Here is a 25,568-nt window from a genome sequence, read left to right as displayed (position 1 = left end):
TTCTTCTTCTGTATTGGCCCATATGCTTCTGAAAGGCAATAGAATGTGGAGTATGCCCAGAGTTACAGTGACAAAAAAGACAGGACCCCCAGTAAGTCATTGTTGTGATTATAAGTGAAGTCACTCCTGCTCAGCCCTTGAATTTCCAGACCTTTCTTTTGAGGGTACAGCATCATATAGGGGTCTCCAACTTAATAAATACACTATGTCTTGTAGAATGATAGACACACCATCCATTCAGAGTTTCCTGCATGCTGGCATTTAAATAGTCTAGAAGACTATTTAAGCATTCTTCAAGGCTGGTTGTCTCTAGGTAATGCAGTACCTCATATGATGAGTGGATCAATGGTCATAGGTCCACTCTGCACCCCCTTCACTGTTAAAAAGGGCTTCTTGTTGAATGCTATCCTGCGTGGAATTCCATGTCTGTGTATCCGACATTCCACAAGTTCCTAGGTAATAATGCTAGTTGAGGCTCCATAGGTAGGAAAGGCAAATCCATACCCAGAATAAGTTTCTATCCTTGCAATGACAAACTGCTGGCCCTTGCAAGACAGAAGAGGCCCAATGTATTTGACTTCCACAGAGTATCTGGTTGGCCTTAAGTAATAGTGCCATATCTTGGGCTCAGTGTTGGTCCCTGTTGCTAACTTTCAGAGGCAGCCAGAGCAGACTTGGGAAGTGGAAGTCATATTGTTTGGTTCACATGTGGCCTTTATCGCTACCATCATGACAACTCCATTCATGTGTCTCTCATTCCAGTTCTGGAGTAGTCAATGACAGAGGCTGGATAATGTCAACTGGCTGAGTCATCTTGTCTGCTTGGTTCATCAGTGTCTCTTCTTTGGGGACACTTTGGGGACTTTCCAGTGGGAACCAATGGGTAGTCATAAGTTCCCACATTGTGTGCCATTTCTATTTCCCCATTCACATATTTGTACACCAGACCTTCTTTTCCTTTTCAGGCACCTGAGCAGAAGGTCTGGCCACTGGCCACCGCCCAAGATCCTGTATATATTCTCACCTTTATTTCAATAAAAATTATTTAAGTAAACAAATATTTAGATTACAGACCCCTCTTTTTAGTTTTCATAAAAATTGCTTCAACAGTTAATCAATATATATATTCATGTAAACTCATGTGAGTTTATCTACAGGCAGAATCCTAAAAGTGAATTTACTGATCAATATGAAGTTTGAAATTCCAAAATTAAACATTAAGTTGCCTTCCAAAACAGTTATGCCAATATCTACTCCTACCCACACACTAACATTGAATATTATCAATCATCTTAACTTTTTGCTTATCTTACAGGCAAAAACTGGAGTCTTGCTGCTTATAGGTATACAATATACTTTGATGATCACTAGGATATTTTCATATGACTATTCGAAATTCATATTGCTTCATCTGTCAACTCCATGTTCAATGTCTGTGTGCATTTACGTACTATGTTCTTTTTCTTATGAACAGTAGAAACTCTTTCCATATTAGAAATATTTACCTTTTGTCTCATGAGAAAACCTGGTTTGTAACACTTAAGTTGTTATAGCAAAGAGAAAATTTAGCTTTTTGTCACAGTGGCAGAAGGGCATGTGGCTGGATCCTGGAAAAGTAGTATCAAATTATTAAGGAAATGTAAAAGGTAACAGTGGAAGGTAAGGAAAAGTGGTTTAGGAATAAATTGTAGCCTTGCTTTATTTTGTTTGGGACTACAACCTTATCTTCTTAGAGTCAGTTGCCACTTGATTCCTTCAGTAATACTGAAAGGAGATCTAGCAAAACTTTAAAAGGCAGGGGTTGTATATTAGGCTTGAACAATTACTCAGCTCATCTTCATCTATTGCTCAATAGCCAGTAACAGATAAGTAAAAGTTATTCACATTTTCTATCTTTTGGTTATTCTTCCACCATTTTCCCAAAGTTTCTCACTAATTATTTCTTTTCCTATAGTCACTCTACCATAACTATTAGTTTTATGTGTATACATTTACAACCATAGAGCACAAAAATCTTTCAAAAAGTGCTGAAGATCAAAAGAATTTAATTTAATGACACTATGATTCTGTTTGATGGAGGTAAGAGGAAGCTGACAATATCTTTATGTTTTCCTACCCCTTCTGTTTTTCAGATTCAGTGCATAGCAAATCTCCCTTAAGTAATAGGGATTTTTAATGTGCTCAAGAGACTGGAATGCCTATTTTAAGGTCTAATTTTCTATTTTCTATCATGTTCCTTCCAACACTTCCAATCTCAAACACAAAGCCTTCAAATGTCTGACTTGATTTTCTATTTTTCATTTTGATTTTTTTATCATATAGAAGAAATACCCATTAGACTTCATAGAAATATTTATTGTTGTTAGCCATGATTCACAGATTCTAAGATAGACATCATTTCACATGTTAATCTCTCTGAAATTAAACAGGAGAAGGTCTTACAGCTGATAGCATGTCATAGTTTAAATGGCAGTGTGTTATGTATTTATTGTTAATGTTACATAAAATAGTGCACATTACAACTAATACATCTTAAATTTGATGAGATTCAATAATAGCACACTTTATAAAACCACTGAACTTTTGTTCAAGTTCAGCCTTTCCTGTCTAACTTTTGCTCTAGTGATTCGATTTTTGGCACTAAAACAGAAATTTTGAGTCTCTCTAGCAATCAAATCAGAGGAGCTTAGCTGTTGAAGTTTCTTTGTGTGGCTGTAAAATGCCTGCCTGAAATGTGTGAACAATTACAGTGATGTGATTGTTGGAGCCAGTTATTCGTTTGCGACTTGGGAAAGTATTATTAAAATAATGATAATATTTTTCCCCTTAAAACTTAGAGTTCTTTAATCCAAATAATCCCTTGAATGTTTTACAGACTCTACAGATTAGAATTACATCTGCTCCTAATGAAACCCATTTACTTTCAGGGAAAAGCCTGGTGACTATTTGTGATAACCAAAGGCAATGCTATATAGTAAGAATGAGTATGAAATAAGAGTTCATTCTGAGCCATGCAATAAGGAAAACTGGGAAGGAAGTGTATGTTTGTTATTAGAACTTCACCAGGACAGCATGGCAGACTTTGAATCTTAACTACTAACTCTGACTTTTTGCAAAAGTGAGCCCTCTGCTTTGAATACTCCGTATTTTCTTCTTTTTATTTTACCTCTTTTGCTTGTTAATTACTAGCATTTGTCTCAGTTTTACTATGATTTCTTCTGGGCAACCTCTCTCAATATACCCAAATAGGTCAGGTGCACCCAATTTAACACTACCTGGCCCCTATACTTAATCCTTAGCACGCTGAATTACAATTGTGTATATAGTGGTCTATGTTCCCCACTAGACTACATCCTTTTTGAAGACAAGGAAGATCGTGCACCATTGTATATCAATTGTTCAGCACAGAACTGACCCACATAGATGCTAAATGACTAGTTCTTGAATGAGTGAATAAATTTATGACTAGCCATCTGGTCTAAAATTACTTTCAGAAAACAAAGAAGCAAACAAACCCACAACTAATTATTCTGACAATCTCAGATTCCTGAAGCTATAGCCACATAAGTGAAGCCGAGGAAAGAAGACCAAATCAGCTTGTGAGGTATCTTAACCTAAGCTCAGTGATCTTACCTCAGGGACAGAAAGTAACTGACTGCCTCAATTCACTCTCAAATGTTTTTCAAACCTTGAGCAAATGTTTGGTTTTTTAATTATCTTCACAAATAAACAGTAATTACATTGCCCAAGTATGATGTGCACTATTTTATCTGCTATTTATTCTGCTACAAAACTCATCCCAAGGAAAATCCTATAAAGACAACTTTCCATTGCCTATGCTCTTGCCTAGTACTGTAATTGAGAGTATGTAGGTACAGCAGATATAGAAGAAGCAGCCAAGCCATTTGGTTGGCACTTTACATAGGCATGACTGTGAGAAAGTTCATCCTACATGCACAATGAACTCCGGGTACAACAAAGGCAAGACGCCATAAGCTGAACAACATGGAAATGTACACAAAGTCCTTAATAAAACCACATAGAAAAGCCAACAAGTGTCACCACACCCAAGAATCATGACAAGAAAATAATCCAAACACACCCCAGAGCTCTTTAATTTATTGTTTTGTTTTTAGTATTTTCTCCTTTTCTCTTGGTTTAAAGGATTCTTGATTTCAGTAGCTAACCAAGTCAGTAGATGCATAATAACTGCTAAACTAGAAAAAAATATGCAAGTAGGTCTGTTTTATATTAAAAGAAAAAACCTAACACATTAACATCCTTTGTTGTGATGGTGGTTCTCAAACCAGCATTTAAAAAATGTTCACGTTGTGGGAAAGCAAAACAATGGTAATTTATGTCACAGAAGATCTGAACATCGTCTTCTTGGTTATCTTACACTACTAAGAATGTAACCTTATTCAGTACTTTTTAAATCTCTGAGCCAATTAAATAATAATTTCTTTATATTTTACTGAAACAAATATGTAATACAAAATTAGTTAATGTGCAATCATGGGAATAGGTGTAATAAGGGATCCATGTAAATCCACCTTCCAGACCCTGCTTTAGTGCTTTCCTTGTGAGATTTCCTCAGTCACTATAAACATGACTAGTTAGCTGATTATCACAGAATAATTAAATTTTGCAAACAGTACAAGGATATGCTTACAAAAATCTTTATTCTTGTGTATGTAGAGCAGATTTTAACTTAAAATTTAAGTGTGTGTGTGTGTCCAAGATTTGGATAGGGACAATACTGTATTCTAAACAAAATGTGTAAAACTTGATACGACAATTTTCAACAGACATCATATGTCTCTTCTTCCCTTGGTACTCAGGTTGAATTTGTCTGTACAGACGGGATTTTTTCCCAATGACCAAGAAACAAGCTGATGTAATGTTCATTTTCAATTCAAACTTGGCATTGGAAAGATAACAAAGGGAAAGCCAGTTTCTTCCAAAAACTAATAAAAATATGAGTTGTGCCAAATACCTCTAAAATATATTGGGCAGCCCATGAACAGTCACTTAGTGCTATAAACATAGGGCAGATCTCTGTGCCTGCTCCTCAACAAGACTCTGTATCTACACGAAGTGTATTTTGCATGAAATCCAGAAGGTCTCAACACATGCCATATAATCCACCAAAGCCATGCCATATAACGCCCACATATCCTGTCCCTGGTCCATAACTGAAGACAAGACATGCTCCACAGTTCATTCTAAACCATCCTAGTACAAGGATGCTTTTGAGAATCAACCCTGTTCTGTATAACAACACAAGTTACTCCAAGTTAATCTGATTTACTTTGTGTGACACCTTCCCACTCCAGACATGTTTAAATTAAAACTATTAGATGGAAATCTTAAACCTGTATGTTTTTTAGACCTCTCTTGGAAAGGAGAGATTTCAAGAATCTGAGGAAAGGGAACTTTTTGAGAACTCTTACCAATCGCTTGGTACTTACACAAGTAGATATTTAGAAACAATGTTTTAGATCTCAAAATAATGAAAATAAAATAACTGGTAATCACACCAAGTCTATTTTTGGTTTTAACAATAGTGAGCAAGCTTTTGATGCACACAAGGAAAGCATGTACTCTCTTTTAGAGTCTGTTTTTCAAAACAAACTGTGGTCATGGTTTTATACACTGAGTATGACTATCAAGATTAATTCTTTTTTTCTTTTGAGATGGAGTCTCACCCTGTCGCCCAGGCTGGAGTGCAATGGCGCGATTTTGGCTCACTGCAACCTCCGCCTCCCGGATTCAAGCATTTCTCCTGCCTCAGCCTCCCGAGTAGCTGAGATTACAGGTGCCCACGACCACACCTGGCTAATTTTTTGTATCTTTAGTAGAGATGGGGTTTCACCATGTTGGCCAGACTGGTCTCAAACTCCTGACCTCATGATCTGCCCGCCTCAGCCTCCCAAAGTGTATCATTAATTCTATATGTGGAGTTAGACAGTAGCTGACTGTTTTTTTTCCCACTCCTCATAACAGCCCCAAAAGTCTCCCATGATAACAGCGAGTAATACTTACCCCGACTCTGAGTTAAACTAGCATTCCTGATAAATTAGACTACAAAGGCAGGTATATTATCTAGAGAAGAGCAATTAAAATGCACTTTGTTCAGTGTAGGGCTATCGGAGACAGCAGCAGAAGAACCTTCAATGACCTTCCGGGCTTTAGCATAAAAAATGTTTACCAGATTAGTAAATTCAAATGTGGGAACCCTGGGATGATCAAGTAAATTTAAGAGGCATAAGGAGTTAAGGAGAGCAGGAGATAGCCCAGCATCCATTAGGTCAGGAATATATAACAACATCAGAATTCCAGTGCCTGGCATCTATGAGAAGCACCTGAGTTGAAGAGGTTCTAACTCTGTCAAGTAGCCACCCCGTTGCCATTATTCATTCCAAGTCAACATGGCAAGGAAAGAGTATGGGACCAATCTCCCATTTTATACGTGGTGAACCCAATACCAGTTCTGTGAGAATCATACAAGGTTGCAGGTTACAGAAAGGAAGAGCAGGAACGAGCCCACCTGACTCCTAGACGCTAAGTGAGTGAGTCTGTCCTCCATCCTTCTTTATACTGCTATCAGCCAACTGTGAACACAGGACAAAAGTCCCATGGGCATGTAATGAATGTGATAGGACAGTGCAGCTCTGCAGCCACAGGTAGGAAAATTACTGTTTGCAAATTCATATGCCAATGTGCTTGTTTTATTGTGTTACTTTTTAATACCTTTTTTTCCCTACTCTCTGGAGTTTGAGCAAGCTTCTCCATTCTATATTCTTCTATTCTTCTTTTGTTCTTGCACCAGGGGATTTAATACGGACTTGCCATAAAAGTTATCTGCACAAGAACTCAGATCATGATCTAGGTAGTATTCTCACGGGGAGACAGGCATACCTCAGTGAGGCATGCATTTTCTCATCTGGAGCTATGGTTTTAGTGCTTACCAGCAGAATTGGGAAGGCCAGGACAATACAAATGCCAGGTAAAGTTGGAGAAAAAAAAAAGTCCATAATACAGTGTTGAGATGGTGGGCATGATGCTAGAATTCTGAATCCATTTTTGTTTTAATTTGGGATCTTGACAGCTTGACTAATCAAAATAAAGAATAATGAAGTCACTTTGAAGGCAAGAACTCACAAAGGCAGAAATTGAGAAATTCACCTGTTAGAACCAAAAATGTCAGCATGGGGGTTGGGAGTATCTGAAATTCACATCTTTTTACAAATTAAATTCTATAGCATAGTTAGAAAAGTTGTCAAAATAACAAATGCAACATGCTCAAAGGAGTTAATCTATATCATCATATCAATACAGAATAGGCTATGTCATTTTTTTCTGTGACAGCACTTTTTATGGTGCTGTTATTCTCTCTGAAAAGCAAATTTAATGGGTGCCTAATTTCTCTCATTTAATTCAGATTTCTGTGTATGAATCCCCCTGGCAAAGCAGAAGCAGAAATACCATAGCAGGAGGCACTTAGAGGGTCACAGGTATCACTTTAAATTACTTTAAGTTCCTTCTGGATGGTCTGTGCTGTTATCTCCTGAAAAACATTGCCAGTAGAAGGAAAGCATTAAGCAAATGTCATATTCTGCACATGGTTTTTTTTTTAAAGTTTCTGCCTTTAATACTATTGCTAAATCATGTCTTTTCCATAAATATGAAAAATGACAAATTTGTTTTACTTCACAGTTTATTAGACAATTTTGAGGTTGATAATAACTTTTGAAATGAAACGAGGCCATCCTTTTGATTAAACATGAACAGATTTAAACACAAACAGGCATAATTAAAACAATGAATGAGAACAGACTGTAAAGAACACAAATTCATCAAAATTTAATTGCTGGATGATAAAATATCCCTGAAAGTTTAAATGCTGGGGAGTCTTAGAATCAACAGGATGCTGAATGCAAAATGCTAGTCTATTGAACTTCCAACAAAAAGAAAAATCTTGCTTCAAATTTTTGTCTAGAAATAAGATTTCTCATGAGCCAAATTCAAGACGATAGTCTTCCTGAACATTGTGCAGAAATTAGGCTGATCTGACCCCAGTTTTGACTTACATGAAGAACTGTAAGTGTACTTTACCTTCACAACAAACAAACTCTCCTAGCAACAGTATCCTGAAATGGCTGAGCACATTCTTGACTTGTCTGCATATGCCTTTTACTTAGAGAAATGTGCAAGATGGCCAACTAAAAATTACAATAATAAAACAGCATATTTTCCTGGAGTCCGAGCATAGAGCCAGATGCCCACCTTACATCTTTAATACACCTTCTAAGGTGGATATTTCCCATCCCTACCTTCCTCATGGAAAAAAAAAAATAAGGATGAAGCCTATTCCCTAAGGCACAGAGCTAGGAAGGAGTAGAAATAGTGAAACACCAGCCAAATTCAGGTCTGTCTGACTCCAAAGCCTTGGCTCTTTCCATCACACACTATCACCTATTAGGCAGCCTATACAAGGAGGAAGGTGTTTATGTGTTGTAATCTTTACCAGCTGGCCCATTCCTGGTGGATTCCATCAATTTGGCTTGCCAAAAAAGCATCACTGATAAATGCTGTGTATTTGAAGAAGAATGATGGTTAAGAGTGAAATGACTATCATATAAGAATCTGCTGATAGAATTAGAGAGGAGATGACTTGAGTGCGGGATGAAAGAATGTGAGATTCCAGAGTGATAATTATTGTCAAATATTTGGAGGTCTGTCATGGAAAACACAGGCAAGACATTTTCTTCATGAGCCCAAATAGTTTGGCTAAAACCAATGCATGACTGCAGAGAGACAGGGTCATTTATTTCTATCATGAAATTCAAGAGCTGAAATTCATTACCCTGATGAAGAAGAGAGTTCCCCATCAGGTGTTAACACACAAGCTGGACAACCTCTCAGCAGATGAGTTAGACTAGAGAAAGATCTCCAGAGCATGAAGTTAAGAGCGTGGTCAGTTGGCCAGAGTTGAATTTCTACCTTTGCTACATACTAGCCGTGTAATCTTGGGCAAGATGCTTAACCCTCAGAAATCTCCCTTCCTTCCACTATAATATGAAGGTAACAATGGTAATTAATCCACAAAAGTTCTGGTGAAAATTAAATGAGATAACCATTGACCAGCATGAATTCTTAACAAATACTAATTACCACTGTTGTTATGGTCGTAATTAAGATATTGAAATAAATGTAAATTCCATCCCAATCTCAAGAGTCCATAAGTCTATAAACATTAAAAGTAGAGACTTGTATACCAAAGAAATCCTGTTGATATAAAAATAACCCAAAAATATTTCTATGAAAAAGAGAAAGCAAGGTTATATCAGAAGAGACATTTTATTATGTATAATGTAGAAATAGGTTTAAAAAACAATAGTCAGTGATATATTCTGCCAAGAATGATTTCTACAAAAATACATAGTCATAAATATCTTTCAGGTAAGCTGGAAATCAATAGGATGCTAATTTTCATTAATTCTCAAATCTGTATTTGTAAAGATTTTTTAAAATATAGAACCTATTATAATATGTGATTTCTGAAAATGTAGAAATATTTTAGGAACAATTACTTAAATAAAATGCAAGAGCCTTCTGCAGAGGCTGCTCCATTTCTCCTACTATCTATTCTTCCTCTTTCTTTCATAAACATAGAGCCTTGATTTTTTTGAGGGGGTGGAAGGGACAGGGCTTTACTCTGTCTGTTGCCCAGGCTGGAGTGCAGTGGCATGATCATGGCTCACTGCAGCCTCAACCTCCCAGGATCAAGCGATCCTCCCAAGTAGCTAGGACTACAGGTGCATGACCACATGTCCAGCTAATTTTTTAACTTTGTAGAAACGGGTCTTGCTATGTTGCCCAGAGTTTTCTTGAACTCCTGGGCTCAAGCAGTCCTCCTGCCTCATCCTCCTGAAGTGCTGGGATTTGAGGCATGAGCCACTATGCCTGTCCAATGCCCTGGTTTTTATCACTGCATAACCATCTGGAATATGGTAGGTAGTCTCCAAAGATAGTCTCCTACAATTCCTCCCCTTCATGTTTGTCTGTGTCACTATTCCCATTAAGAAGTGAAGTCTAATTCCCTCCCCTAAAATCTGGGCTGCAGTTGTGATTTGTGACTTGCTCTGATCAAAATACATGGCAGAGATGACACTATGCCAGTTCTAGGCCTCGCCCTTCAAAGGCCTGGCAGCTTTCCTTTCACCCTCTTGGAATGCAGCTTTCAGGCTGTAAGAAGGCTATTCTTCTGGAGAAAGAGGCCTCATAGAGAGTCCCTGACAGATGAAAGCCATGTGGAGAGAGAAACTTCGTGGATGAGAACCAAGCTAAAAGCACCAAAACCTCCAACAGATAAGAGGCCTTTTGTCCCTTCTAGTCTAGCCCAACTGGCAGGTAAAAGCAGCTGCACCATTGACCAAGTCAGTACCATATGGGACTGAAAAAATGCCCAGTTGACTCATAAAAACATGAGCAAATAAATCATTCTTATTTGAGCACATTAAGTCTTGGAGTCATTTGTCATGCAGCAATAGATAAGTGAAACACAGAATAAAAACTACTTTATATAGCTTTCCTTGCAGCTAGGAGTGGTCATATGACAAAGAGTGGCCAAAGAAATGAAGTGCTCATCTTCTGGGGCTACCTTTCCCTTCCTGCAACCCCCAGCCCATCCACTGGAACACAGGTGTCAGGGTCAGTCATCTCACTCCATCCAGGCAAGAGCTACTAACTTCGGGATAGCAGAGCACAAAGGCACAGCCCTAGACTGTTCAACAGAGTCCTCTCTTAATTAAGCCACCTTATATTTGGTCTCTACTTGATATGGTTTGGCTCTGTGTCCTCACCTGAATCTCATATTGAATTGTAATCCCACATGTCAAGGGAGAGACCTTGTGGGAGATGACTGGATCATGGGAGCAGTTTCCTCCATGCTGTTCTCATGATGGTGAGTAAGTTCTCATAAGATCTGATGGTTTAAAAGTGTTTGGCAGTTCCCTCTTCACTCTCTCTCTCTCCTACCACCATGTAAGATGTGCCTTGCTTTCCGCCATGATGGTAAAAGGCCTGTGGAACTGTGAGTCAATTAAACATATATATGTGTACATATATATACATACACACACACCGCCCCCCAAATTACCCAGGCTCAGGTAGCTCTTTATAGCAGTATGAAAATGGATTAATATACCACTATTCAAGGCAAGGCTCTAGCATAACATATACATTTTGTTCCAAAAGTGGAATATTTCTACAAAAGTGAACACTCAAGCATTGGATTAGCAATCAGGTAGAAAACAACCATGGCACAAGTAATGCAAGCTGAAAAGCTAGAGATAATTGTGTATTTATGGCAGATCATTTGACAAATATGTCACTTGTGATTCCATGGTATATTTACCACTATATTAACAAAACTTACAGTTGAAAAAAACAATTAAGAAAATTTAGAATCTTGCTATGCATTGACTACATATTTACCACTTCAACAAAGTGTCACAAGAGAGATAGACCTAGGCTAGATCTAACCAGTCTACAAGCAGATATTGCAGAGAACACAGATCTGCTGAGAGAGACTCACTTTGTTGGGGCCTGAATCAGAAATCTAAGTTGACTGAGAGTTCGGTAATTTGAAACATCATAGGGTTAAAAGAAATAATGATAAAAATGATTTCTACACTCACAAATGTAAGAAAATGTAAGAAGGGGCACTGAAGCCTGGGCGTGGTGGCTCACGCCTGTAATCCCAACACTTTGGGAGGCCGAGGCGGGGGATCATGAGGTCAGGAGATCAAGACCTTCCTGGCCAACATGGTGAAACCCCGTCTCTATTAAAAATGCAAAACAAATTAGCCGGGCATGGCAGCACACACGTGTAGTCCCAGCTACTCGGGAGGTTGAGGCAAGGAGAACTGCTTGAACCTGTGAGGCGGAGGCTGCAGTGAGCCGAGATCATGCCACTGCACTCCAGCCTGGCGACAGAGCAAGACTCCCTCTCAAAAAAAAAAAAAAAAAGAAAAAAGAAAAAAAAAAAAGAAGGAGCACTGAAGAAGCAATCTTCAAAGAAATTCTGACTGCATTGTGAAGTTTTTCTCAAGCACCTCCTGCTAAGGCTGTCTAACAGATGAGGAGAACCAGCCCAGAGACCAAAAGGAGATGAAGAATATGACTTTAACACACAAGTCTATTTTTTTTTCCATGATGACCTCCAAGTAGTTACTATTAAGTGGAGGGCGCCTAGAGCCAAATAAATAAAAGATCAGTGATTTCAGACTTAAAACTGATATCTAGAAGCCATAATTGGCTGTGCTTGCTAATACATGATACCAGTCAGAAGGAAAAGTCTAGAAGTCGGTTTGGCTTTTATGGGAATTGTAATGCCTAAAGCAACACCCAGACCTCCAACCTGTCCGGGTCACCAGCAAACCAGGGAGAGAAGGCCACAGCTAGGGCAGGAAGTCTGCTTCACTCCTGCCAGCAAGATTGGATAATCACTGCAGACCAGTGCTCGCTATGCAATCTCCATTATTCCCTTTTGCTGCAGTTATTCAGTTCATCATTACCATTTAATATTGAGTATTTGGTGGGTGTTGGAGGGGATGCAGATGACTTGTATTTTAATTTGTGGGTCATTGTCCCATAAATTGCTAGAGTCACCCTGAACATAGCAGATAGGATGGAGCAGCACTCAAAATTCCAGGATTTTGAACCTGAAACAATTGGATGGGTTTCTCCTCTCTTGAGGAATAGGTGAGTATTTTCTACGTGCACAGAAAAAAAAAAAAAAAGATGTACACGGATATTTGTCTGACTCATAGGAAGACCCTGACAAATTCTAGTTGTCAATTTTCTCATCATAATAAACCTCCTAATTTTTAGCCAAACTCCTGACACAGCAAGAAAGACTACATTTCTGCAATGGGCTGGTTGTGTCCCTCCAAAATTAATACGTTAAAATTCAGACCCCCAGAGTGATGGTATTAGGAGATGGGGCCTTTGAGAAGTAATTAGATCATAAGGGTGGATCCCTCATGAATAGGATTAGTTCCCTAATTAAAGTGATCCCAGAGAGCTCCATCACTTCTTCCACCATGTAAGGATACAACAAGAAGTTGACAGTCGCAACCCAGAAGACAGTCCTCACCATTACCCATCCTTGCTGACACCCTGATCTTGGACTTGCAGCCTCCAGAACTATGTCTGTGGTACTTTGTTATAGCAGCCCAAACTGACTAACACAATTTCCCAGCTTCCTTTGTTCCTAGGTGTGACCTCAGGGACTAAGTTCTGCACATCAGTTTGTGAGTACGGCTGATACATGCAACTTCTGGTTTATTCCTTTAAAAGGAAGAAGTATGCCCTCTCCTTTTCTTTCCTCCTACTCACTGGCTGGACAAAAACAAAGTGGTGAGCCATCTCAAACCATACAGGTGAGGAAAACTGCCTATAGATTGGAGGAGCAACAAGACATAAGAGCCTGACCCCCGACACACACAGCTGCCATATGAGCCCTGGGCTGCTTACATTGAGATGAGAATATAAAAGAAAAGGCCCCTGTCATCTGGTCTAAACTGCTCTTTTGAGCCATTCTTACCAAAATCTGTGTCCTTACTAATATGTTTCCTTAAATTCGTGTCATCATAGATTTTTAATTGAGTTCATGCTGACACATTATAAAAATGTTCATATTAAAAGATAGTTTTAAAGTTAAATGTCTCCATTGCCCCAACAATTCCAATAAATTCAAAACCTGTTGTAGTAATATGCAATATAGTTTAAAATACAGTAATCAACGTAACATTGTACCAATAACATATATTGCTACACTTAACAAAAATGTTTACCTTAAACATGTTTATAATATAAAACCATACTAAGAAGCAGAAAACATTTTAAGATGATATATTTATAAGACACTTTTATATATTATCAAACTGTAAAAATAATCATGAATGTCATTGGCATGCAGTGTATTTTTATTTATTTTTGTAATTTAAGAATAATCACCTTAAATAAAATAAAATAGTTTAGCATTACTTTTTTTTTTTTCTTTTTTTGAGACAGGGTCTCACTCTGCCACCCAGACTAGAGTGCAGTGGTGTGATTGTAGCTCATTCCCACCTTGAACTCCTGGGCTCAGGCAATCCTCCTGCCCCAGCCTCCTGAATAGCAGACACCACGATGCCTTACTATATTTTTTTAATTTTTTTGTAGACATGAGGTTTTGCCATCTTGCCCAGGCTGGTCTTGAATTCCTGGCATTATGGGATCCTCCCACCTCAACCTCCCAAAATGCTGGGATTACGGGCAAGAGCCACAACACCGGGCTAGCATTACTTTTAATTATCTCTCAAATATTAGGTTGATGCAAACTTAATTGTGATTTTTGCCATTTAAAGTAATGGCAAAAGCACTGTTTACAATAGCAAAGACATGGAACCAACCCAAATGCCCATCAATGAGAGACTGGATAAAGAAAATGTGGTACATATATACCATGGAATACTATGCAGCCATAAAAAAGAATGAGTTCATGTCCTTTGCAGGGACATGGATGAAGCTGGAAACCATCATCCTCAGCGAGCTAACACAGGAACAGAAAACCACACACCACATGTTCTCACTCATAAGTGGGAGGTGAACAATAAGAACACATGGACACAGGGAGTGGAACAACAAGGAAGGGTCTTTCAGGGGGTCGGGGGTGAGGGGAGGGAGAGCATTAGGACAAATACCTAAAGCATGTGGGAATTAAAGCCTAGATGACGGGTTGATAGGTGCAGCAGAACACCATGGCACATGTATACCAAATGTAACAAACCTGAACATGTATCCTGGAACTTAAAGTACAATTTTAAAACTTAAATTAAATTAAAAAAATAAAGAATGTGTATGCTTGAGAAAGTTATTTTCTTTCACCTGTATATAAATAGTAATAGAATAAATAATATTCATAGCCAGTATATATATAAAAAAAGCAGTGGCAAAAACTGCAATTACATTTGCACCAACCTAATAAAATAATCCAAAATAAGTTCTTACAAGATAAGGCATGCATGCACATATCCACGTACAGAGGCACAACACAATGATTTACCCATCATAAAATAATCATCTAAATTCACCCCAAATATGGATTCATTCTCTTTTTTTTTGAGACAGAGTCTTGTTCTGTTGCCTGGGCTGGAGTACAGTGGCATGATCTTGGCTCACTGCAACCTCCACCTCCCAGGTTCAAGCAATTCTCCTGCCTCAGCCTCCTGAGTAGCTGGGATTACAGGTGCGCACCACCACACCCAGCTAATTTTTGTATTTTCAGTAGAGATGGATTTCACCATGTTGGTCAGGCTGATCTCAAACTCCTGACCTTGTGATTCACCCACCTCAGCCTCCCAAAGTGCTGGAATTACAGGCATGAGCCACTGTGACCGGCCCTGGATTCATTCTTTACACTGGAATAATATTCTATAAAAGGCCCAGCTGTAGACATACCCTAGAGCTATATTAAAGCTTGCTTTCAAGCCAACTTCTGTTTCATGATGTTAACCAATTGTAGCAGATGCAAGGGATACTCTTCACCATTCTGGGAACCCTCAGAACTGCCTACTACAAGCACCCATTTCTCCCTACGTTAGAGATTTCTCTGGGCTGCATGGCCCAGAGATAAGTGCGAGAGGAGACTACACCAGCTTCCTCACTGTTCAGGTGGCACTCATCCAAGGTGTGTTGTACACTAGTGGGAGTGGGCCCCCAGTTGTCCATAGCAGTAATCAACTTAATAACCTAGTCTCTGTTGGTCTTGCTTCCCCGTCCTCCTACCAGAGCTTTCTGGGATCTTCTTTGCAAACGACCATTTGCATTTGATTCTTTCATTCAGGGTCTATTTCTGGAGGGACGTAGGCTAAGACAGCAGCATTTAGAAATTATTTAGAGTTGAAAAATTAATTTTGCATACATTTTCTAATTTGAACCCCACAGAAACTTAGTGGAAGAAGTAGATGACATGATTTCACAGATGAGGCCCAGAGGCTTTAATTGTTACTTACAATCCTTCCCATAATTTTCTTGGCAAGTATAAAGATTGCCTCCCTGGACCAACACATTACTTTTTTGCAAATTGCTTTTATGGGGCTCTATTTGTTCCTGGCAAGCAATATCCTTGCCTGGGACAAGTTACACCCTCCATTTGTAAAGTAAGAGATTGAGCAAACACAAATAAGTACAGGTCTTTCTTTCTCTGAATTTTTTTTTAATCTATTTGTCTGTGCATGGGAGAGAAACCCAATGACCAAGATGTCCATTTAAATGTCCAAAACGTATTCAGTTCACAAGTCACAAACAGAATGGGATTTTTCTAGTCAAACACCTTTGAGTTCATGGTAAGATCACAATGGCAACATAAAGGTTTATATCTTTTTTGTGTAAAGTTAATTCTGAATTGTGAATCGCCATGGACAATTAGGCAGAAGGTACTTTTGTCCCTGTTCTATGCCTGTATATCCAGGCAGCATGAACTCAACCAAATTTCCTAGGATTCTGTTGCCAATCTAATCAATGTCTTCCTTTAGTTATTTTATGAATCCTGCAAGTCAAAAGTACTCGTAACTTGTGCTAGGATTGTCTTTTAAGTAGCTGCAGGCCTTTAACTTTTAGTTATCAGTTTTAGTCATCAGTTTTTTTCATACACACACAGTTCATCCATGTTTCATTGTGAAGGTCATATTCTTTCCTTACTAATAGTAATAGAAATATTCTAAGAATATATTCTCTTTGAATATATGTTTTCAAAAATGTTCATCCCTTTTTAAAATCCATATTTATTGTTTTATGCCTGGCAAAGATGTGTTTGGTAGCAATAAAAAAACAATAGAAAAGGAAAAAGTAGGACCGGGCACTGTGGCTCACGCCTGTAATCCCAGCACTTTGGGAGGCCAAGGCGGGTGGATCACTTGAGGTCAGGAGTTTGACCCCATCTCTACCAAAAAATATGAAAATTAGCTGGGCATGGCAGCAGCGCCTGTAATCCCAGCTACTCAGGAGGCTGAGGCAGGAGAATTGCTTGAACCCAGGAGGGAGAGGTTGCAGCGAGCCGAGATTGCACCACTGCACTCCAGCCTGGGTGGAGTGAGACTCTGTCTCAAAAAAACAAAAAAAAAAAAAAAAAAAGAAGGAAAAAGGAGGTCTCCCAAAGAAGGCTTTCATTACTGAGAAATTATTCTAGGATAACCAACCTACTCCTCACACCCTGAAATTCTAGCACACACAATTGCAAAAAGTTTAACAAAGAATAGTAAAACACAAAAACAGAACAAAACCACACTAGCATTAAACCATTGTAGCCCTCTGGAAGTGTTCTCTCAGTCTTCTAAAATCATTTAATATAGAGTTGGATACACTGACTAAATCTATATAACTTTCATTTACTTTATGAACTTATGCTATATGGTTTTATAATTTCCTTTCCCCGTCTTTTGTAAACAGATAAAACCCATGAAATGATACTCATCACACACATATGTTGCTATTAATTTTACAACAGATTAGCATTTGGCAAATATAATTTCTGATTCATGGAAATGTGTTAAGGACCACCCAAGCTCATATCAATACAGTGCCACCCTATCTGATTGGAAAACAGGAAAGGAACAATTCTCTCATCCTCGTGGTGCTCTCTGCCAAGGAAGCTTTCCAGTCAAAGACTCATCCTAGTAGATCCTTAATAAACCCTGATTGGAATTAATTAACTCAAAAGAATGACTCAATTTCAATCCTTGGAACCTAATTTGAGAACATGATAGAAACCCTAGTTGTTGAATACACAAGGTATTCCACTTGCGGAATCTCCTAAGAGAGAGTCTCTTAGGAGACTCTCTTAGGATTTCATGAACTTTTCTTAACTCTGTTCCCCCCATCTTTTCTCCCAGATATAAGATTTTTGGGGTAATACATTTGCTGACCTTCTGAATCCAACTTAAGATTGATCTCTTTAATATGGTTTTTCTTTAGGGTGGGACATTTCCCAAAGTATCTTCTGAAAGTGTGTTCATATAAGAATCATCTTAAATTTTGTTTTTTTGTTAATGAGTAAGTTAGAGAATAATGCAAAATTTATAATGCAAATTTAGATAGGTAACGTTATGCAAAGTAAACCAAAAAAATCTGTCCTCATTTGACTGTATATTTTCCAAACCTATCTAACCATGAATCCATTTTTTTAAATCATATATTAGCATCCTATGGTATCAGTGTTCTATGCACTGTCTACAGTGACTTGTGAAATGGCATCAGTAGGAGATGAGAGAAGAGATGGGAGAAGTAAAAAATTAAGGAATCACAAATGAAAAGGAAAGAAATGAAAAAAAACTGAAGATAAGCAAACAGGTCAGAGGCTATATAATGTAAGTGCTTATAGGTCATGAAAAAAAGGTGCGGATTTTGAATAAAATAAGAGTCAGTGAAGGCTTCAAGTAGGAGAGTTACATCCATTTTGTCATTTAAGAAATGAATTCTGGCTGCTCTGTAGGAAGTGGCTTAGACTTGGATAAGAGTGGAAGGGGCCACATAAATTGTTCAAAAGAGGTGATGATTACACTGAAGATTGAGAGAGTGAACAAATTCAAGATATATTTTTGAAGCTTTGCATTTCAAATTATAACACCATTTTAATAGTGCTGTATTTCTTTGTTACTTATTAACACATGCACAGGACTTAGAACAGTGCCTCCCATATAAAAAAGTGTCCATTCATGTGAGCTCTTTAGTATTAACATTGACTAACATCTAACCTCAACATGGACTCAGCTCAGATGTCTTTCTTTAACCACGGCCTCCTCTGCCTTCCTAGCTGGGTTCTTGCCTGTATACTACACTCTATCCTCTTGGCGTATGTGCTTTCCTTTATTATCAACACACATCATGCTGTATTTTATTTCATTTCCTATCTGCATTCCCCGCTGTAACACAAGTTCTTTGAGGTCAAGAACAAGGTCTTTTTTATTTCTACATCCCTACTGCCCCAAACTTAGTAACTATTTATTAAATATGGACAGAAAAAAATCAATGTCATATAGAACATTATCTCAATCAATAGTGCTATCCACACAATGGGTAGTCTTAAGTACATTTGAATGATCAAGGTGAATAGATTTATAAAAAAAAAAAAAAGGCAGAAAAAGCTAAAGAGTCTTGAATCTGAGGCCAACCTTTGAGCAGTAGCCAAGTTGTAATACAAAAGTCCTGGACTACAATTTCAAGTGAACTGAATTCTAATCCCTGATCCACTGCTTATAGGCTATTTGATCTTGGACAAAACATTTAACTTCCCTATCTTTAATTCCCTGGTCTGCTGAGGACACATATCAATACTTCCCCTGCCTACTCAAGAGAGATATTAAAACTAAATATAAGATATTCCAAATGTTATGATTTCATGTAAGTAGTTGAGAGACATATATTAAGCTGAGTTTCCTCCCATTTTTAAGTTTCTTTAGCCAGAATGATGGGCATTTGAAAACCAGGCTTATTTCATTTGCCTAGTGTCAGCCTTCACCATTGCTCAAGTTCCATGCTCTATCTAGTCATAATAAAAATAATACCTCCTAAGCATTTACCCTAGCAAACTCTTCTACATACTTTACATGTGTTTACATGTAAATTTAATTTAATCTTCACAATAACTCTACACAGTGGGTATTACCACTATTCTGGTTTTGAAGGTAAAGAGAATGAGGCACAGAGAGTTTAAGTAACTTGCCCAGAAAAACCCAAATAACAAAAGATAGATGTGAGCTCTGAATTCATGTGATCTGGTTGCAGAGTATAACCTTAAATGCCACCATCTTCTTTTTCTCAGGGTGGAGGACTAACCAATATGGCAAACGGTGAGGCATGGAAGGAACTCTCCAGAAGCCTCCCATCTGCTTCTTCCAGCCGCAGCCATGTTGCAGTGCATTCAGCACCATCCCAGGAAGCATCCACAGGAGTTCAGTCTATTTCCATCACATGGTTGCTCCACACCCAAACTGGCTTACATCTGCGGTTATAATTTTCCCTTTAATTTAACCAAAAGCATTCTGAATTTGAAGCAAGGAGATTTATTTAATCCTTTTAATTTCATATAACATCCAGCCATTACTACATCAGGTTAGCAAATGTACAAATGTAAAGGGAAATTAACATGGTTTGGAATAAAGCAAATCCCATGAGCTCTCATTGACTGGATACTACATTTGGGAGGAAGGCATTGTATTGTTATTGGAAACTAGGAACAGCTCTAATCAAATGCCGAGCAGGCATTATATCTCCCATGGAACTGTCACTGTGACTGAAATTCCAACCACTGTTCCACAAAATCCCATTTGAGAAAAGGTCTTATACATGGAATTGAGGCAGTATTCAACTCAACATGTATGGAGTGCCTACTATTATATAAAATCTAGCTGAAATTCTATTCATTCATTCAGTAAAATGATTAAGATCCTCCTACATACACAAGGCATTGAGTTAGGGAATGGGTATAGAACAGTAAACAATATAGTGTCCCTTCATTCTTAGAGCATACAGTACAGTGGGAAAATGTACATTAAAGAAGTACTTACATGAATATCTAATTATACCTGGGAAAAGGGCAGTGCAGATGCACAGAGAGCCAGGAGAATGTGTGACAGCTAGAATATGACCTAGCTAGTGGGCCAGGGAAAGCTTCCAGAGGAGGCAAAGTTTGTGTTCATGTTTCAGTTTTCCAGTGGACTTGGATAATGAACAATGCATAGTTCACAAAAGTGATAGACTTGTATTGAAGAAGAGAAAGGAGAAAAATGTCAAAAGTAGGGACCACTACTGAGCCCTGTCAAGGCATAGTGTTGTCCATGATGGCAGTCCATGACAGCATAGAGGTACGGAGCAGGTTGAGTCAAAACGTGGGGCACAGTTTGCTCACATCAGAGAGTCACCCAGCACTAACAATAACTTGACCCAGCTATGCTCAATCTAACTGTCTGATATTATTGGTAATTTGAATTGTGACTCATACAGTTCCCTCATAATCAGATAAAGTAAACAAATCTCCTAAGTAAATGAAATCTGGTTAAAAGCACTGATTACAGATATGCTGGATCATCTCCCAGGACTTTGTATGAACCCCATAAGTAGATAGATTCCAAAGTATCCTTTAAAACCCAGGATAGTCTCCACTATGTAAAACTTCATTTCATAACGACTTCTAGGCCTGGAATTGTGAATACTTATATAGTTCAGGGACTCTCAGTGCAAAAAGTTTCCACCACATTACTCTGCTATAAACGCCATACTAAATTTTATAATGGTTTTTAAGTACCTTAAAATGTTAAAAATCTCTAAATTAAGACAAGTGTCACCCTTCTCTTACGGTCTACTTAAAAACGTGGTACCCAGACCATCCCTAAGCACAATCACATCACATTGCAAAATCCCCAAGTTGCCTCACATTTTATACAAGGGAAATTAGTTGAAAATGAAATTTGCAAGAGAAATGAGATCACAAAAGGACTAATAAAGCATTTTTAACTTTCCTGAGGGTAAATTATGAGTCTTGAAAATATAATCAAAATTGGTGGATCCATTTTCACTTTCTCCACTGAACATCCCTGACCCACTGATTATTTTATTTCCTCTGTTATGCCTGCTTACTCCTTCTTTCCCCCAAAGGAACCAGAGGATTTTCTAAAGTTCAAATCTGCTTATTCCAGGAAGAATAATGCAAATCAAATGGTTTAAGTTTAAAAATCGCTACTTAGATGGGCATACTTGGAATTTATCATTATGAACATAGAGGATTTGGTAACACAAATGATATGGAATGGGGTGGCTGCAAACTATTCCTCAGAGGAAACAAGAATTTCTGATAACTGTTAAACTAGATGCATATTGCAGAAATTTTAAAAATTATCATTATTTACCACTGCCAATTTTAAAAATTATCATTATTTACCACTGCCAATAAAATATGCAAAATCCATACAAAAATACAAGTTCTGAAATATCACTCACTCAAAAAAGTAAATGGACAGACTAGAAGCTTCAGAAAGTGAAGAATGTGTCTGTCTTATTGCCAGAACTCAGCCCAACCCCATAAGCACAGCACACATGAAATACTTGAGGAATAAATTAATAACTGCTAAGTAATGTGTGACACACACAAAAAATTCCCTAATGAACTTCTAATTAATCAGATAAATTGGGTTAAGCAATAAAATAAGAAAATTTGAGCTAATATAGAAATCTAAGAGATTCCAAGATATTGCCCCAATGAAGAAATCAACTCTTAGCTGTCCATGCTTTTGAAAAAAAATTCTGAAACAGATAGATAATGAAAAGGAGTAACATTTTCCTCTTTTTCAAAAACTTATGCCCATGTAATTCCCCCATTTACCCAACTCCTCCCCCAATCAAAAAAAAAGGTCTGATGTTGTCTATTTGTTAGCATAAATTCTGAATATCCAGGCACTGAATACTCTCCATAATTTGGTCTCTAACTTCATGCTAGCCTGTCTTAATTCTCCATGATGCCAGTTAATCTACTTCCTGATGCTCAACACATCTGGAGTTTACTTCCTCCATACATTAACTTATGCCACATCCTAATGCCTTGAGTGCTCTGCAATTCACTTACTACATTCCTGTTCACTTCTCAAGTCCCAGTAGTTCCCTGAAACTATCTTGCCATGCTGTCTGGAACTGACCTCTTTTCCCTTGTCTAATTAGCTCACTCAACACTTAGCAAACACCATCTGATATTGATGATTATTTCTGATACAAGGCAGAGGAACATGTTATATTCAGAATCAAAGAATTTTAGGTCTACAAATAAGTTACAGATTAATTAGGTCCATTCTATCATTATACGGATGACTAAATACAAAGATGAAGCTACTAATCTAAATTAGTTACTAGAAAAGCCATAAGCGGGACTCATTTTCTATCTTACAGTTCAGTGAAGTTCCCAATATGCCATGCACTTTTAAAATTTAAATTTAGATTTTAAAATTTTATTTAAATTTTTAATTTTAATTTTAAAATATTTAAATTTTTTTTAAATTTAAATTCTAATTTAAAATTTTTATTTTAAAGTTTAATTTTAAAATTTTATTTTACATTTTCAGAATTTACTAACACATTGCATATACATAACTGTGTAATTTATACATTATATTTTACTTTGTCACAATTATATAATAAATTTAAATGTTCAACTAAGTTTTGTTTAGCTTCATGATGAAATATGCTTTCATTTAACGAGTGAGAAGAGTAACAAAGGAGGGGGTCCAAGAGAGATGAGGAAGAGACCTCCTGGGATTTAAATTTTGCTGTCAATATTCTACAATCCAGATAACCCACACAGAGTTGTGGGAACTATCTCTTCTTTTAGAAGCCCCATCTTCTTCCAATCTTCTTGAAAGCAGGGAATTTGGCTTCATTGACAAGTTGCCCAAGCATGCTGGTTTGGTTCTCATGAGGAAGGTTTGCATCTGTTGGACTGGAATGCCCCGCTATTTCTAGGAACTGTGTTTGGAACAAAATGCTTCCTTGTGATACAACTAAAATTAGTCATTCTTGTAAGATGAAGGGAAAATTTTGCAAAGGTTTTCCCATTCAGATGATGACTCCTTTGGCAGAGGATATTAAGATCCTGTGAGTGGGTTCAATTATATGCCAACTCAAGATGCCAGATCACGGGGTCTCTTCATAAAATTTATGAGGAAACATATTCCCTGGAGCAAAATGGCTCACAGATAGAGAAAGCCGAAGACTCTCTATTGAAGAACTTCCTCTAGGTCTTCCTCTTTACTTTTTTTAACTTTTAATGGGGGAGTTCCATTTCCATTTGGAACTTAGACAAAGTTCTTTCATCTTGTCTTCTTCCAAGGAGAGTTCTTTTCACTGTTTGCATCATAAAGACATCCATCCTCAAGGATATTATAAGCACCTCCTGGGTGCCTTTGTAAAGACTACGTGGATCCCTTAATTAGTTAATCCATCATCATCTCCGGTTGATTTATTTAATATTATCTCAAACATCAGAGAATTGCTTGTTTCTCACAAAAATTGTCCATTCTTTCTCTGGTATCTTCTAACTTCTGTAAGCAACAATGTCCACTCAACAGTTTAACTGAAATTACAGACAAGCCTTAATAAGCAGACAATGTCTCATACATAAAAACACTCCAGGAGCATCTGGACTGGAATTTTGCCCAGTTAAGTGACAGTTTATGAAAATAGCCCAATAGCCCCAGTTGCAGTTAAAAAAAAAGTCCAAAGACTACAAAGAGTTGCATACTATCAGGGCACAAATCCATAAAACTGGTTGCAACATTGTGGCTAGAAAAAGAATATTTTGAGTGACTAAACAAGAAAATGAATTCTGGTTGCTTAACCTGTCTGACTTTGTAGCTTTCTTGATACCTTTCAGACTCTACCATATCGATACTATCCTAATTGCTTGTATGTATTTTATTTTTATTTCACAGACTTTGTATTTATAACAGTGGCTATCACTCTGTCAGCATGGGTGTATTCTGAAGAAGACTTTCAGCCTCTCCTGGGCAGATGTGGCCATTAGACTCAATCGGTTTTAAAATTATTTCCAACCTCAAACACTCAATGTAACAATATAGCACCCAGCAGTGCCTCACATATTTAGATCAGATGGTAAGAGCTTTCAGGTGACGACAGATATCTACATGGGAGGGAATTTTAACTCACAAATTCTCTGATTCAAACACTGACTGTGCATCACAGGCTTAGAATGTAGTTATTTTATAAATATTGAATTTTCACTAGTCACATTGACAAACACCATAATTAGAAAATGCAATAGTGGGATGTGATGAAATTCTGTGGTACTCTTTTTATTTCTTAACCAATACATTTTAGAAAAGTGCATTTGACCTAAAATGGGCACGCCTCACCCGTGTGCATCCACTTCACGCACTTGCAAATCCTCCCCAACGACTTCATTTCTGCCTAGAAGCAGAATATGCCCTTCCCCGCCAAGAAGCTTGTGAAAAAAAATTTTCTGAGAGCTGTCCAGTCCATATACTAAGAATTCATTTTCCAGTTTTTACATGTATAAATAGATTAGTAATTGTTTTCAGGTTTTCTTATTTTTACAATTGGTTAAGCATGGATTTTGCTGTCTGCACATCTTTAAGAAGTCATCTTTTATACTACACAAACACTATGGTTTTCTTTACCTGCTCTCGTTGCCAGCAAATGAAACAATGATACAAGAGAACTGGAGACCAAGGAGGCCCCTCGTGCTCTGGTTCGTGCAAGAACCAACATTGCACATAATCTTGGGAGTTGGACTAACACTGGCAGCTCCTGAATTTCGCTATAGAAAGGACTTAGGAGTGAGAAGGTTTTTGGAAGTGAACGCTAATTAATTTGCCTGGAAGCTACATTACAGAGCAAGCACACTTGATTTTACTTAGATTACTTAGATTGTAAATTTATGAGGGATGACTTAGAGGGGGTTGCTCATGGAGATTTATGAAGGGACAAAACTCCCT

General features: G+C 37.7%; 1 long non-coding RNA gene across 2 annotated transcripts in view; it reads right to left on the bottom strand.

Annotated features, from left to right (window-relative positions):
- The window catches only part of MIR2052HG (MIR2052 host gene), a 158,596-nt gene that overhangs the window by 26,467 nt on the left and 106,561 nt on the right, over nt 1–25,568 (bottom strand). The gene's annotated exons all lie outside the window — the stretch shown is intronic.

This window comes from Homo sapiens, chromosome 8 (assembly GCF_000001405.40).
Source record: "Homo sapiens chromosome 8, GRCh38.p14 Primary Assembly".
NCBI lineage: Eukaryota > Metazoa > Chordata > Mammalia > Primates > Hominidae > Homo > Homo sapiens.
Note: the sequence above shows the minus strand (reverse complement) of the source record. Positions and strands in the feature narration are given on the sequence as shown.